Source organism: Homo sapiens, chromosome 8 (assembly GCF_000001405.40).
Source record: "Homo sapiens chromosome 8, GRCh38.p14 Primary Assembly".
Lineage (NCBI taxonomy): Eukaryota > Metazoa > Chordata > Mammalia > Primates > Hominidae > Homo > Homo sapiens.
The window spans coordinates 107,442,351-107,458,813 of NC_000008.11; the positions used below are offsets into that span (position 1 = coordinate 107,442,351).

Below are 16,463 nucleotides of genomic sequence, written 5' to 3' on the forward strand. Positions count from 1 at the left end.
GTCATGTTGCACTCACATTTTCTTATGTTACCATCTAATCTAGTTTCAAGTTGTACTTAGCTTCCTATTTTAATCTATTTTTATTTTAAAGGTTTTACAAATGCCACATCTGCCTTGTGTAGCTCCTTACTAGATAACAGATTTTTCAAGAAAGAAGTGTAAGAGTAAGCAAACCAAGTCCCTTAAAATATTGTCCAAAAGTGTGGGTTGCTTCTCTTCTAAAAAGATTTCCTTCTATAAGACAATGGAAGCTATTGGGTTAGCTTTATATTTCTCATAGGATGACCCTAACTCCGTATCTTCTACCTTCCTAAATTATCCTATTCCCTCAAATATAGTAGTTTTGGTTTATTGCTTTGAAAGTGGCAATGACTGCTTTCAAAAGACACACATGTGCACACACAAACTAAATCTTACAGTATAGAAGTATTGCTAAAACTGTCCCAAAGTTTTAATTTTCCACAAGTCTTAGTAACTCAGCCTGCTAAGTATCTGCTTGTAAGAAGGTGCTATATTTTTTCTGCATAGAGCAAATAAGAAACATCCCTTCAGCTGCACTTATATTTTTGGTAACACCTGCACAGTCTCCTAATAGCAGAGACAAGAATTAAATATTCTTTTCCTAATGTAGAATGCCCAGCCCAGTCTTTCTTTCAAAATCCCCAAGATTCATTCTTCATTAAGCATGTCCCAATTACCTTTCAGTGTAACTGATAACTTTGTGTTTGTGTGTGTGTTCCCCTTTTCTACTTTATATACTTCCATCAGAATATCTACATAACTTAAAAGATCTGCATTCTTAGCTGTCTTCCTTTGGGGCCATAAGATTTCTGAGGGCAGGGAAGATATCCTAGTCACCCCACAGGTCAGGAACAATACCTGCCTCAACAGATTTTCTCCTCTCCAGTGAATACCTTTGGTGAATTAAGACAAAATCATGCAGTGGAAAGATTGTGACCGGAATTTAGGAGGCCCAGGTTCCACTCCTGGTTCTGTCTCTCAGTTATGAATCAGTGTCTTTGAGAAAGTTAATTAGCTAATGTTAGGAGATTGAGCTAAGTCATCATTAATATTTTCTCGGGTCAAAAATTCTGATTCTTAGGATTCAAGTATTCATGATATACTTAATAATATAGTGGGCATAATAAAAGATTTTTAAAAGTAGACTAGTATACCGGCCGGGTGCGGTGGCTCACGCCGGTAATCCCAGCACTTTGGGAGGCTGAGGCGGGCGGATCACCTGAGGCCAGGAGTTCAAGACCAGCCTGACCAACATGGAGAAATCCCGTCTCTACTAAAAAAAAAAAAAAAATACAAAATTAGCCAGGTGTGGTGGCGCATGGCTGTAATTCCAGCTATTCAGGAGGCTGAGGCAGGAGAATCGCTTGAACACAGGAGGCAGAGGTTGTGGTGAGCTGAGATCATGCCATTGCACTCCAGCCTGGGCAACAAGAGCGAAACTATGTCTCAAAAAAAAAAAAAAAAAGTATACTAGTATACCACTCTAACCAAAAAGATAAAATGAGATTGGATCATTGGTATTGGAGAACATGAAGTTACCATGCAGACAAACACAAAATGAATTCTCGTTAATGTCTTCTCTCAGATTTTAAGTACAGATTCATACTATTTGGTATGATTTAGTATGCTTAATGGCAATGTCATTAAATGTGTTCAAGAAGAGTCTATGTCCTTCCAAAATTGTCTAAATTGCTCTCAGAAAGTATTCTGTTCTGGGAGCATCTGGCTCAATTGTCCATGGGTTATATGTGGATGTATCATTCCTGAATCACTGGCACCAGTGCTTAATGCCAAACAAAACCCCTAAACCTCAAACTATTAAGTGTTGAGCAAGATATTTAGCAACACTGGGAGTTCTAAAAGTACATCATATTTTGGCTCAGATACCTAGGGGAAAGGACAGGTTTTTAGGATTAAATTGATTTCTGAGCATCATTATCTCTCCCACAGAGGCCATACACAATTTATGAGGAAAAAGCAAATCACACTCTCTTCAAGGATACATTTATATGTCAAGGTAATAGATCAGCCTTCTTCTGTTTATGTCAGTTGGTCAGCCAATGAAGAATGTGGCTGAACATGCAAATGAGCTCAGCAGTCTAGAAGCACGAGGTCCTATCCCTCATTCTCAGTGAAACAAAACCACTCTGTAAATGCAAATGAAGATTTTGCAATTTGAAGCAAAATTGTATAGGTTTCCAATAATAATGTCTAGAAAAATCTTTAAAATTTGGTAAGTTAAGCTGGTATGAAGTCAAAAGACATAGAGACTGACAGACTCTGCTTATGTGGGGTTTCCTAAATATAGTTTTAACAGGGACTATCTACAGGTTCAGGCATCAGTTTTATTACTTCACAATGATGAGAGTGAAAAAATCACTTACCCTGACCAAGCATGTAAGACAATGATTTCTAGATCAGATGATAGCTATTAATTTTTCATGGGAGATAAATTGCACCTCTCTACCCATTTTCTGAAGGGCAGGGCACTCCAGAGACCAAACAACAAACCAAAAACCCGGGGAGTGAACTATAAAGGAGAAATTCAGCATGGCAAAAGGAGATTTACATCAAATTAACATATCTTGAGATGTTATTCTTCTTCCCTGCAGGGGTATTTCTGTCTAGACACCTAGGAATGGTCATTAGAATCCGCACTTCACCCTGAAGGGGGCTGACAATACATACTAATTTGCAGTCTCTCACTTTGCATTTTCTACAGCTGTGGTTCTCTCTGCACATGCTGCCTATAGAGAATCACATCACATCTCCTATCATATCAGAATCTTTTCTATTGGAGGCAAAGAGCTTCGGGAAACATTTTACTGTCTTGCCACTAGATTATAACATATATCGGATTGATTATTCTGACGGATCCTGCTCTCATCTCATTGCTTAGTGGATATTTTAAATTTAAATTTTATTTCCAAAATCATTGTATTTGGATGCAATGGGGAGGGAGAAAATACAAAAGTGAGAAGAAGAAACTTACACTCTTACCATTATTTTTGTCCCTTGGAAATGCTCCTAGGTTCCTAGAATTCCTTCAAGAGTTATAATTTTTAGTTCAAAAATTATATGTGGTCAGTGGTCAGCTAAAATTGGATGACTTTGGCCAAGTATTTAGGTTTCTTAAATATATATTATGGACCTCCTACTTTTTTTTTCCAAATTCTATTTTACATTGTAGGCAATCTGTTCACACATCAGTGTCTGAGGAGAGACATCAATCAGAAATCCAAGAACTTCCAATTAACTTTTATCGGGCATCTAGCCAAGAGTCCTGCTGGGTCCTGGAAGGAGAAATCAAACATAATTTCTGTTTTCAAAAATTCAGAATCTATCAGAAAAATAGATACGAGTAACACTGTGTAATCACACAATGGGATGTATGATTTAAACTAGAACTGTTTAATAGAAATAAATTACAAGCCACAGATGAGAAACCACATATATGATTTTAAAGTTTCTAGTATGCTACACGTGGAAAGTAGAAAATAAATAGGTGGAATTAACAATGTTTATTATTTAATTAATTAATTAATTAACTAATTTATGTATTTTGAGATGAAGTCTAGCTCTGTCACCCAGGCTGGAGTGCAGTGGCGCTATCTCGGCTCACTGAAACCTCTGCCTCCCGGGGTCAAGCGATTCTTCTGCCTCAGCCTCCTGAGTAGCTGGGACAACAGGCACGTGCCACCATGCCCAGTTAACTTTTCGTATTTTTAGTAGAGACTGGGTTTCACCATGTTAAGCAGGCTAGTTTTGAACTCCTGACTTCATGATCTGCCCGCCTTGGCTTCCCAGAGTGCTGGGATTACAGGCATGAGCCACCACGCCCGGCCAATAGTGTATATTATTTAACCCAATACATCCAAAATATTACCATTTCAGAAATATAAAAGTATTTGTCAGATTTTTATATATTTTTGTAGTAAGTATTTGATTAAGATGCAGATTTTACATCTGCAGCACATGTTAGTTTGAACTAGCCATATTTTAAGTGGACAATAGCCCCATGTGGCTAGCTGCTACCATATTGGACAATACAGTAAGCAGCATATGATAAGTTCTGAGTGAGAAAAGCCAAGGAACAGTTTAATTTTCTTGGGGCTATCAGGAAAATTGAACAGAATAGTTGACATTGGAATTTGGCCTATAAAGATAAAGAGGATTTTACTAGATAAAGTGGTAATAGATTTTGGCCAGATTTTGAACCTCTATATTACATTTGTATTTTGTGTTTTAAGCTATGGCTTAGCTATGGCTAAGCAGGGAGGAATAGAATCAGGGTTTGCTTTGAAAACGTAAATGTTGGCAGGATGGAAAATGCATTGGAATATGGAAAGAATAGAACTTAATAGACCAGTTATGTGGCTATTGCAGAGTATGGGAGATGGATTTAAATATCTTCTATATGCTTGAGGCTCTCAAATTTTACTCTTGAACCCACATCTCTCTCCTAAATTCCAGACTCAACAATTGTATACTTGACTTCTCACTCAGGTGCCAAATAGGCAATTCTAACATAAAATAACGAAAACTCAGCTTCCAATTTTCCACTCAGGCCTCTGTATACACAGTCTTCCCCATCTCAGTTGATGGCCACTCTCCTTCTAGTAGAGTTGCCCAGATTGAAGACTCCTTTTTCTGTTCCTCTCTCATAGCCAACGCCTCAAGAAATCCTGTTGACTCTACCTTCAAAACATTTGAAATCTGACCACTTCTATTTCTACTGCGACCACCCTGGTCTGAGCCACTATGATCCCTCACTGCATTATTGTAATGGGCTTCTACCTTGTCTCCTTGCTCATGCCCTTTTCCCCTAGATTATATTTTCAGTACAGAAATCAGATGTGATTGCATGTTTGAAATTGGAATCAGGTTATCTCTTGAAGCCATACAAGGGCTCCCCATTCCACTCAAAGGCAAAGTGCCTGTGGGGCAGATTAGATTCTTTCCAACTCATTATTCCCTCTATGGTACAGAATTATGCACTCATGCCTTCTGCCATGTGAATTTCTAGTATTTCTTAAAAAAGCAAACAGACTATACATCCCTGCCACATTAACTATGAGCATGAACAAATGTATTTCTTTGGCCAGTGGAATGGGTGGAAATGATCTTGCCTTAGAGTGTTTGCACAGGCTAATCCCTCTGCCTTAGACCACTCCTCCTTTAGTTATCTGCATTGTTCACATCCTCATTTTCTTCCAGTTAAATGTCACCTTCTTGGTAAGACATTCTCACAGCCCACTTAAAACTGCACAGGCAGGTCATGACACATATACAGTTGGGAATAACAGAATTTGAAAGTAATTTAGAGGGCCACCAGTTCAGTGGCTTTCCAATGAGGCTCCTAGGCAATGAAATATTCTGTAGGGTTTCTTTGTAGAGTAAGAGTGTGGAGTAATGCTACAGTGGGATTCCTGACACATACACAGACACACATACACACACAATCCACAAAAGCAGATCCAGTGACTACCTGTGTCTGAGTAAGTTTACGCAAAGGATTTGAGCAAGGGATTTTGAAGGTTAACACAATTCTGAAAGTTATGAATTTGAATGTCTGTTTCTTCTTTGGACTTAGGCAGAAGCTGAAGCCTCATTGAGTTATGTGGCTTACTTCGGGTCCTACAGTTAGTTAGTGGCAGAGGTGGACTTGCTGTTTGTGTGAGTACACAATCTCTGGGATTTACTCTCTTATTTACATGAAAGACAAAGGACATGAGTTCTGAATGAATGAACTGTGGTATGGTATGTTCTCCATAACTCTCATTAATGTCAAGTTTTAATAAGAAGGTAATTACATATAAGGACTTACTTAAATACATTTTATCATTTCAGTGATTCTTAACTAAATTGTTCAAAGTATTTTGTAGGTAAATCTATTTCTCTACATTCCTTAAAACTAATGAGATACTCTTCTATCATAATGCAACTTTTTTATGAAACTGTCCCTGAAATAGAGGCTATATTGACAGAACAAATTAATTCGATTAATTCATTTCTTCCTCTATCACTTTTCCATTTGTTTTCTATTATTTTCTTCCTTGAAATACAGAAAGCTGACTATGTGGTTATATATAAGTATCTAGTAAAAGAGCAAAATTTCAGAGGATTGCTAAGCAGAAAAGGGTAATCTCCCAACTCTGCTCTTACGGTGTATGTTTTTGAGGAGGATGGCTAGGGAGTACAGGAGAGGACTCTGGAGGTGGAATTTGATAGGACTGGCAACCCAGGAAGTGACCAGAAAGCAAGTGACCTTTGTCATTTGGGTAAATTATTTTAGGTATGGCTAGGTCAAAAGGAATTCTCTTTATACCCCAAATCAGGATTATCTATAAAACCACTCTCATTGAAATAATGCAAAAAGAACGTCTTTAGATAAAACATTCTATAGCGAGAACCCAAAAAGAATCCCACCTACCTAAGTTTGCACAAACATGTGCATTAGTAAGTAAGGAAAGACATAGCCAGAACTATATGCAAAGAGTTAATTTTGCCTATCACGGGCCAAGTTTGGACACAGAGAGATTTTTGGTAATCAGCCTATAAGTCTTCTTATGAGAGGGTTCACAGGCTGAATTGACATGGTCTGACTCATTGTTGGGGGAGTGATGGCAGAGGACATAGGAGATATCAGTGCTCTACATGAATCCTGAGGAGCACAGAAGAAAAGGAAGGAAGTGATTTCCTTTAGCCATGTCTAGTCAAAATAAAAGGGAAATTTTCTCAATAGCAGGGGAAGTTCTATTACTCTAGTGATGCCTGTTCATTTACTTGTCCCTACATCAAACAGTTGTTAAAAACCTGCATTGTTCTTGATGCTGTAATAGATAGTCAGTGGAACAAAGAATAAAACACAGACACCCCTCCTTGGTGATGTTTTTGGTCTAGTTGCCTTTATGACATAAAGTAACCTATTTAATGAACTATGTATTTCAATCTATAGTAGGCAGAGCTTTTTACTGACTTTATAAACCCCTTATTAATAAAGCACCCACACACTCACACACACACATGCACACACACACACACACACACACACACAGAAAACTTCTGATATATTAAGGGAAAATTTACTGGGAGAGCAGGTCCTCAAATCAACAGTTTCACTTGAGATTCAGGGGCTCAAACATGATGGAACAGGTAATTACCAGTGCTTGAAATGGGTACTTAAGCAAAATTGCATAGAAGGAAGTATTTTCTCTGTTACATAATATAAATGAGACCTATTTATTTACCACTTCATCAAACTTTGTAGCCAGATGTACCTTACCTTGGAATAACTATGTTTTCAACTGTTGCATGACTTCCTTGCATTAGCACACACGTTTTGAGTTTAGGCCATGTTGTAATATTTATTGATTTCTTAGTTTGTGCAAAGAACCCGTCTTCATTCTTTATACGTATTAACTCATAGAAATCTAATAACATTATGTGTGTGTCTTTGCATATTCGTCCTGTATGATGAATCAAGAATAAATTATATTAAACTTACTATCAAATAATTTTCTTTGGGTTAGACTTGCCTTCTCTCAATTTGTTATAGTGTGTATGTACTTACAAAGCTTAGAAGCACCTAAATATCTGATGATAAAATTCTGGTTTTAAGAGTGAATTTTGCAATAGATAACTGTTTGAATCTTTAAAATATGAAAATTAGTGTTTTGATTAAGGGCACAAAATTAACACAGTATGGCAAAAGCATTCTACCTGAATCCAAGTAAAGCTGACACAGAACTAAAAATGACCTGAGAACTAAAAATGACTTGGAGGAACCATATGGGACATACGGTATTGTTGGAAAAGGCTTGAGTTTTTAAAAAGTAATTTTAAAGCCATTGTCATAGATAAACTATTGGTATTACTTCTTGTTAACAAACACATTTCATCTCTACAGCTAGTTACACATTCTGAGCATCTGCTAAAGCTCAAATTCTGCTCTAGCTTCCTGTAGTAGAGTTAAGGATTACTTGCTTTTATATGGTTCATTTACATCTGTGTTATGTGATAAAGGTGGTGATTTCTTGACGCAGCAATATAGATGAGTTTCCCCATTAAAAGCTCTATGGGCGGAAAGAGGGACCTTTATAAATCACTGTGTGGTCTTCTACATTGTGCTGTTTTGTGAGATATTTTCCTCCCCAGTTTGGATCGGAATAACAAGCACATAAGAAATTGCCAAGAGCATTCAGAAAGAAAGCAAAATCAACCAAAACAAACACAGTAAAGTCTAATATTATTTTAAGAAAAAAGTTCTGAAAAATGCTTGACCCAAATGAAATATTTTCAAGGGTATTGCCAAGAACATTCAAATGGGAATAGGTGTGTGTGTGTGTGTGTGTGTGTGCATGTGTGCATGTGAATATATATAATATATATTTTAGAGCAGGAAATAATAGATATTAAAGTTATAATAATACTAGTAATAGTAGAATAAATCATATTTATTGAGTACTTACTCTGTGCTTGAAACTCTGCTAATTACTTTCCCTTGATTTACCCCACAATCACCCCATGCAGTTAATATTACATCACAGTTAGTATTATATTGCAGATGAGGCAATGTATGACTGCCTTCTACATATTTACTAGAACGTATTGTAAATGCACCATGATACTTTTTTTGGAAGTCACTTCTCATTTAGGTAAAAATTATTTGCCAAGACATAATCTCCCTCCCCACTTTTAATGGCCATACCTTTAATCACGGCCAGAGAAAGTGGCTTCATATATATTTCTTAAATTAAAAAAATACTATACTACCAGAATTTGCATTAACTCTTTCCTACCATCTGTTTCCTTTGATGATTACCAACAGGAGACATCAATTGAGCAGTGACTGCATATAAAGTACAGATTCAGGAAGGGTTAAAAATGAAGAGAGAAACTGCTCTTCCACCACTTACACTTATACACTAATACATACATAACAGACACACACACACACACACACACACGTGTACGTGCACATTTTATTTCAACCTTATGATACTAGGTTCAATATCTTCCAGAGAATACCATTGGCCCTAAGAGAGTTCAGCTTTAATAGATATTGAGGTTAATTTATGACAAGGGGAGAGATTTTATCAATAGAATATTCTGGTTCATTGTCAACAGTGTTGTAAATGCTTTAGTACTATAGAATCAGATCTATATCCATATGGTGACATTTATTCACTTCACATTTTCTCAAAGTGACTAAAATGGATGACTCCCTTAAACATGGAACTTGTTATTTTATAAATCATTTGGACAATGATTTGTGAGAAGGTCTAACTGGGGCATAGAATGGGAAAACAGATACGAAAATCACATTATCACAGGGATGCCATTGTGGAGGTCATCTTACACCTATAGTAATCTCTTGTTGAAAAAGGAAGGAAGATGTTTCACTGACCTGAGTATCAGGGAAACTGTGTTTCTCCTGGATTCTTAAATGTTTATGTTCATTGTGCTTACCTTTTTATTTGACTGCCAGAACTCTTAGTTTAATTTTTGATTCACCATCAGCAATTTTAAAGGACTATTAATGTGTTTTTCACCATGTTGATCTTTGTTTTTCTCTTTGTTTTCTGTTTACTTAATTCCTAAATTTTTATTTTATACTTTATATTTGTTTATATGTATGTATACTATTTACATGTGTGTTCGTGTGTACATGTGTATGTGTGTGTCTTAGCCACAAGTTCCGTATAGAATGAATAGAATAAGACAGGATATTAACACTTAAAAAGATAAAATCAACCAGCCTTCTGACACGATGTCTACCACAATATATACTATTTTATTATATATTATTATTATTCTACTACCGTCCATACAGAGAGATGTGTACCAAATTTTTTCCCTCTAAATAATAAAATGAAATTAGAGAAAATGTGAGCAATGACACATCCTCATATCCTTTATAATTAGGATCTTACGGAGAGACCATGGACCATCAAGCCAAAAAGCCAAAAAGCTGTGGATCCCAGTTTCATATTATTGCACCATGCACATTCATATTGTAAACACACCATGATACATTTTTGGAAGTCACGTCTCATTTAGGTAAAAATTATTTACCAATACATAATCTCCCTCCCCACTTTTATTTCTTTATTTTTATTTTTTTATTTTTATTTTTTTTGAAGTTTGTAATAGATATGCATGGCTAAAATTTATTGTTACATTAATCAATATATTTTATAAATTGGGAGAAAATATTAAAAGTTCCTCCCCACTTTTGATGGCCATATATTTAATCACAGCCAGAGAAAATGGCTTCATATACATATTTCTTAAATTTTAAAAAATACTTATATTTCCAGAATTTGCATTAACTTGTGTCAACTTGCACAAACTGCCCAAACTCCAAGAGCTTTCTCATATCCAAAGTGGAGATAATAATTTTTATTTGCCAGGTGTTTCTAAAGATTAAATGAGATTAAATATATTTGACACATAGTACAGGCTCAATAAATGCTTGTTTTTTGCTTAGTCTTCCTCATGGAAATCTCCATTCACAAGATTTTCACTAAACACACACTAGACATTCTGAAAATGATTAATAAATAAATTTTGAGAAATAATTTATATAAGCCTATTTTCCTTTATTGAAATACATTGCACGGGGAAAATTCACTATAACTTTACATCCAAAAAGGTTAAATGCTTAATGAACTCTTTAAATGATGGTGCCCAATGCTTGTAAAGATGCACATGTGTGTGTGTTTCTGTATGTTGAGGAGTGATCATTCTCACACAATGCTAACATAAACATACATTAATTTGGCACAGATTATCTGAAGTATTATTTGGACCTCTGTATTATTATTTTTATTCCAGAAATTCGATTTCTAAGAATTCTGACTAAAAACAATTAAAGAATATTCATTTACAAAGATGCTCATTGCAATACCATTTTTAAGTTTATATTAGTCTGTTTTCATGCTGCTGATAGAGACATACCTGAGACTGGACAATTTACAAAAGAAAGAGGTTCAATGGACTTACAGTTCCACATGGCTGGGGAGGCCTCACAATTATGGTGGAAGGCAAGGAGGAGCAAGTCACATCTTACATGGATGGCAGCAGGCAAAGAGAGAGCACTTATACAGGGAAACTCCCCCTTATAAAACCATCTGATCTCGTGAGCCTTATTCACTATCACAAGAACAGCATGGGAAAGCCCTGCCCCCATGATTCAATTACTTCCCACTGGATCCCTCCCACAACACATGGGAATTCAAGAAGAGATTTGGGTGGGGACACAGCCAAACCATATCAAAGTTTTATTTTCTTTTTAATTTACAAATAATAATTATGTATATTTTGAGGACAATGTGATGTTTGGCTATTTATCATAAAAAATTGGGTTAGAAATCTAGATGCTCAACAGTAGATGATTGGGTAAAGTGGATTTAAATGACTATTAAATGAGGTGGCGAAGTATATTTCTTGACATGAACAGATGCACATAGTATATGCTGAGATTTAAAAAAAAAAAGATCTTGAAACGCCATTTATAGAGTCACCATAGTTTTAAAAAATAAATTCACACATCTGTGAAGAAAAATACCTGGGAGAGTTTATTTAAAAGATGTTAAGAATAGGTATGGTTGTCTCTGTTATGTGGTGGTGATTTGTACTCATTTAGCATACCAAGATTTTCTCATTTTTCAGTGATGAACTGATGCTACTGATATAATATGAATGAAAAGACCGCTGCCTAAAGTCCTACCTATTTTCATGTTCCTTCTGGTTTTTGCTTCACGGGTGGTGCATTCCCAGGCAAATGGTTCAGAAAAGAACTAAGCATAGTGCATGGCGTGTTACATAATCCCAGCTTTGTTTTTTAATAGATGTACTTGAGTGACCTTAAAAGCCTAAAAATGCAATAGTTAAGAGGGAGTTGTGTAGGGAGGGTGACTTGTGATGTTATCAGCAGTATTTAGATTCTATCTTTATTCAATTTCAAGACATGCTGCTATTGGACAAGACTGTCTATTCTATTTATTTGTTAAAATACAAATCAGTTCTCAAACAAGTCACTTAGAACAAGTTTTGAACCAGTTTGCCTTCACTTTTGATTACCTGGTAGTGTTAGAGGCAACTTGATGCAAATCTGTAACTTTATTTTTTTAGTCATTAGAGTAGTGTTATCTATACATGTCTTCCTACATGTCTAGAAGTACACACTAAGTAGCAAGTAGTACATTTTCTACTTGCAAATAGTATCACATATTTTGTTCAGCAATCTAAACAACCCGCTAATGCGCTGAGATGTAATGCAAACCCTAAGTATTCATAAATGCCGACTTGAAATCAGCATGGGAATGTCAGGTTTCTCAGACAAATTTCACCTGCCTAACTTTGTTTCTGGCTCTTCAACTCACAGTAGTATTTATTTCCCTGTCCTTTAAATACATACACATATACATATACCTACTCCAGTGTTAAAGGGGTCTGTAAAATACCTTAGTATGCTCTTATTGAGAAGGCAAAGAACAAACAATGGGAGATCTGTCTAAGAGGTGGAAATGTCTAGGGTGTACTTCCTCAAAACATTGCCTGGGCTTGTAAAATGAAGTGGTTTGGAAATGGGTTCCACCCTCTTCTACTGACCTTTGGCTTCTATATGTCTTCCTCTCTGGCCACTTTCTCAAAATATTCCTTCAGAAGCCTTTTACTCAACCTAAAAATAGCTCCCAGATGCTACCTTACTTTGCAGTCTCTTTCCCGCTTACTGAGATTGTATGATTAGGAAAGATAGCAGGAAGAGTGTAAGGACAAGACCTTTTTGGTTCAAAATAAGTTCATTCCTTAGCAGAGCCTTTCGTGATCTCCATGTGAATAGCTCAAAAATGTAGACAACTGTTTCCTGTAAGTTTACTTATAAATAATGTTTGAAAATTTTAGCAACTTCTTTGGTTTAAAATCTAAAATTAGATGAGAGTATTTGTCTAATTTTAGATGGAGTTGTCTTACATATTAAACTATTAAGTGACTTAAACTCTGTACATCAAGTCATCTGCTAAACTTTTCATTGAATTCTCTGCTTACATTTCCAGCAAATGTATCCTGTTTTCCTACATTTTATGTTTAATAACTATCACTGAATGTCCTGGCAATGTGGTGAATAAGTGGTTTAATCCTGGCCTTCCATTCTAGGAATGAAAGTCAAGTAAATACAACAGCCTTTGCATCATGTATCTTGTTGAACCAACTTATGTTTTGAATTGGGCACAATGTTTCAAAGGGAGACTTTATTAACAAAAAAATAGATATTTATAGTAATTCCTGCCCTCTACTCATGAGTCATGTGGGTAATGCTTGTGATTTTGTTTTCGTTGTTAAATATTCCTTACCTGTGGTAAATCTCATGATAAAAATATTTGCAATAGAAGAGGCAGTGAGGCTGGATTAAATCACAATCAAGGCTTTTATCTCCAAGAAAGAATCTGGTAGAAGAACCTCCCTCCTCATTAGTCTCTTTTGTCAGTATTTTCAAGCATGGCAACAGCCTCAGAAAGACCCAAAATACACAACTTGGGGATTGGAATGAAGCCACAAAAAGCATGTTTTTATAAGGACAAGAAGTCAGAAAGTTGATCTTCATTGGTTTCCTGCCTACCATGTGAAATGTACCTCGGAGATCTGGTATATGTATCAGCACATCAGCAGATGAGAGAGCAACATGATTGTATTAATAACAAAGTTTATTGTGTATTTCTTTCAAATGAACAAAAATTTTGAAAAAACTTATTACAGGCTCAAAAATGTCCTTTGTGTTGTTATGTTTAAGTCAACCAAACATGATTTGGTCAACGTTAAAACAGAAAGCTGGGTAACTGTTGAAGTCACAAATAGTTTTCTGCGAACTTGGACATCTTGAGCAAAGCTGAGATGTTTGCATAATCTTTTCTGTAGCAACAACATTCCACATGCATATTTCTCTTTAAAAAGAAACTCCAAGCTCAGTGGTATTCTGGGTTCAAGGCCTGAGTAAAAAGCATCTCAAGTCAAAAGTCCTGTTCTAAAAATTGAGATGTAGAGAAGGTCATAAGCGTTTTGACTTATCTTTTAAATCATTCATGGATGATTAAAAGTCACATTGACTCAAAGTACAAATTTACTTAAGTATCTGAACTCAAACTAGCTCAATTTCTTCTTCAAAATCCTCTAAAATGTTTTAAGTTTCCACAAACAAGATAAATCCTTATACATAATACTGAGCAAAGGGGAAGGTGAAACGTACAACAAAACCTGCTTTCATAAATTGTTCTTAAGGTCTGGAAATAAAAATGTTAAATGTGACCTTTTACTTTAGTGGCATTTTTCTAAAATACAAGTCTCAAAGTGTATATGATGTAAAATGTATTATTTTAAAATAGAAATATAAAACCTAGAGAACCAAATGTATAAAATGAAATGTAAATCTCGAATTATACCTATCTTGAGCATCTTACTTTCCTAGGTACTTGATCATGCTAAAGAATGAAATGGGATCTGCTAAGGAATGAACTTATTTTGAACCAAAAAGTTCCTGTCCTTACACTCTTCCTGCTATCTTTCCTAATACTTCATTAATAAAGCAGTATTTTTATGATAAAATGACTTTTCTTTCTGCTTTGAGCCAATAGAAGATGTGTCAAAAATTGTAACTTGTAACACAGTAGAGTTGTGTCATATGCTCTTAATTTTATGAATTTAACTATGTGGCTGATATCATAACTCTACTAGTATGAAGAATAAAAATTCTACACAATATTTATGACATATTTTTCTTTATGATAGACTATATTTATTAGGTGATTACACATTGATACATGTCACTACATAGAGGTATATATGCAAATCTAAAACTCCTGTGTAAGATGCTCCCAATAATCTAATGTAGAGATGGCAGAGCAAAATAATTAGCACATATGAATGTCTTCCTGTCATTTGGAAATAATAATAACCAGTTTAATAATGATTATAACAGTAATAGCCAACAAAAGTATCCTAAGGAATGAGATAGTCAACCAACTAACCAAGCTGTCATATTGAATGAAAATTAAACATCAGTGGAATAAATTATAATAAAGATTATCAGTTAACTTAGCTTTCCACATGAGGCTTCTTTGTGGTCGCTGAGGTGAAAATTGAACCTAAACACTCCAAATTAGTGCCATTAGCAGAAATGTACAATAATAGATAAAGCTTTGCCAATCCCAACTTTTCTTTTCTGAAGGGAAGTTACAAGCACACGTGTCAGCTCTACCACTAGCCTGAAACCAGGCAGCTGAATTTTTTATATCTCATAGTCTTTGTCAACTCAAATTATTAATATTTGGATAAGGCTCTTTACCAGAAACGAGTAGTTAGTTTCACTTTTTGAAGTTTAAACCACTCACTATGCCTCCCAAGAAGTTTCTGATTTGGGAAATTATTCACACTCACCCCACACATACCCACTACACACACACACACACACACACACACACACACACACACACACCAAGAGGGGAAAAAAATACCTATGAAAGCATTTTCTTGGACATTGGCACTGCAGATAGAAGTGAGTTAGTAAGCAAACTGTTCCAGTTCCTCCTCCTATAAAAGCTATTCTTTAAAAAAATATTATGATCATATTGAGTGTGAAAAAAATAAAATAAAAGGCCATCTGATTTCTGTTCAGTTTCAAGTTTCTGAAACTGATGGCCAAGTTGGGATTACAACAATTATTGTCCATGTGTAGCTGAAATTCCAGTATGTACTGATAAACAAGATTTGACTGATGTTGCAGACATTAATTACAGTGATCTGCTAACTGGCCTTCTGGACTTAATTGGGCATTTTATGATCACATTCTAACATGCAAGACTTATACAAGAGTAAACAATGAGTTTATTTATCTTTCAGATTCCAATAGTTGCTATTTCTCTATTGCAATGTGTTGGAAAACCTGCTAATAGAAAATCTGCCTTGTAAATTCAGCTTGTGATATTAATAAATCTGTTTCTCAAAAGTTCTTAGGATTGTCCATGTCAAAAGACAGTCTGAATTATTTGACATAATTATGGGTTAGACATGCTTCTAGTCAAAAGAGTAGAAGTATACTAAAGTATAAAATATTTTCTAAACTAAAACAAAGAAAAAATAATTTAAAATATTTTCAGCAAGATTTAGTAACTATGTCTAGTAGATAATTATTGGTGAGTGTGAATGACATTACCTCTAAGGAATGTGAATATATATATTTTTAGATTCTAAATGCATCAGAATGTTATACTATGTTTGATGCAACAATATAACATTCTGTTATAAATAGAAAGGTGAACTCTAAATATCAGCTTCTTCCTCTCCACTAAATAAATATTAAACACATTGAACATGAGCCCAGGAGGTCTAACATTAATTGAACCATTCCTTTGTGCTAAGTATCCTGTCAACTGCATGCATGT

General features: G+C 35.3%; 1 protein-coding gene across 3 annotated transcripts in view, besides 3 other annotated features; it reads right to left on the bottom strand.

Annotated features, from left to right (window-relative positions):
* ANGPT1 (angiopoietin 1) overlaps nucleotides 1-16,463 on the bottom strand; it is a 248,437-nt gene that overhangs the window by 192,869 nt on the left and 39,105 nt on the right. The window lies entirely within an intron of this gene.
* Nucleotides 2,384-2,929: an enhancer, noted in NCBI's record as "OCT4-NANOG-H3K27ac hESC enhancer chr8:108456962-108457507 (GRCh37/hg19 assembly coordinates)". NCBI's record gives its function as "activates a minimal SCP1, AML or CMV promoter by ChIP-STARR-seq in primed H9 embryonic stem cells {active_cell/tissue: H9 hESC(primed)}" and the evidence as "EXISTENCE:reporter gene assay evidence [ECO:0000049][PMID:30033119]".
* Nucleotides 3,228-3,750: an enhancer, noted in NCBI's record as "H3K27ac hESC enhancer chr8:108457806-108458328 (GRCh37/hg19 assembly coordinates)". NCBI's record gives its function as "activates a minimal SCP1, AML or CMV promoter by ChIP-STARR-seq in primed H9 embryonic stem cells {active_cell/tissue: H9 hESC(primed)}" and the evidence as "EXISTENCE:reporter gene assay evidence [ECO:0000049][PMID:30033119]".
* Nucleotides 3,751-4,271: an enhancer, noted in NCBI's record as "H3K27ac hESC enhancer chr8:108458329-108458849 (GRCh37/hg19 assembly coordinates)". NCBI's record gives its function as "activates a minimal SCP1, AML or CMV promoter by ChIP-STARR-seq in primed H9 embryonic stem cells {active_cell/tissue: H9 hESC(primed)}" and the evidence as "EXISTENCE:reporter gene assay evidence [ECO:0000049][PMID:30033119]".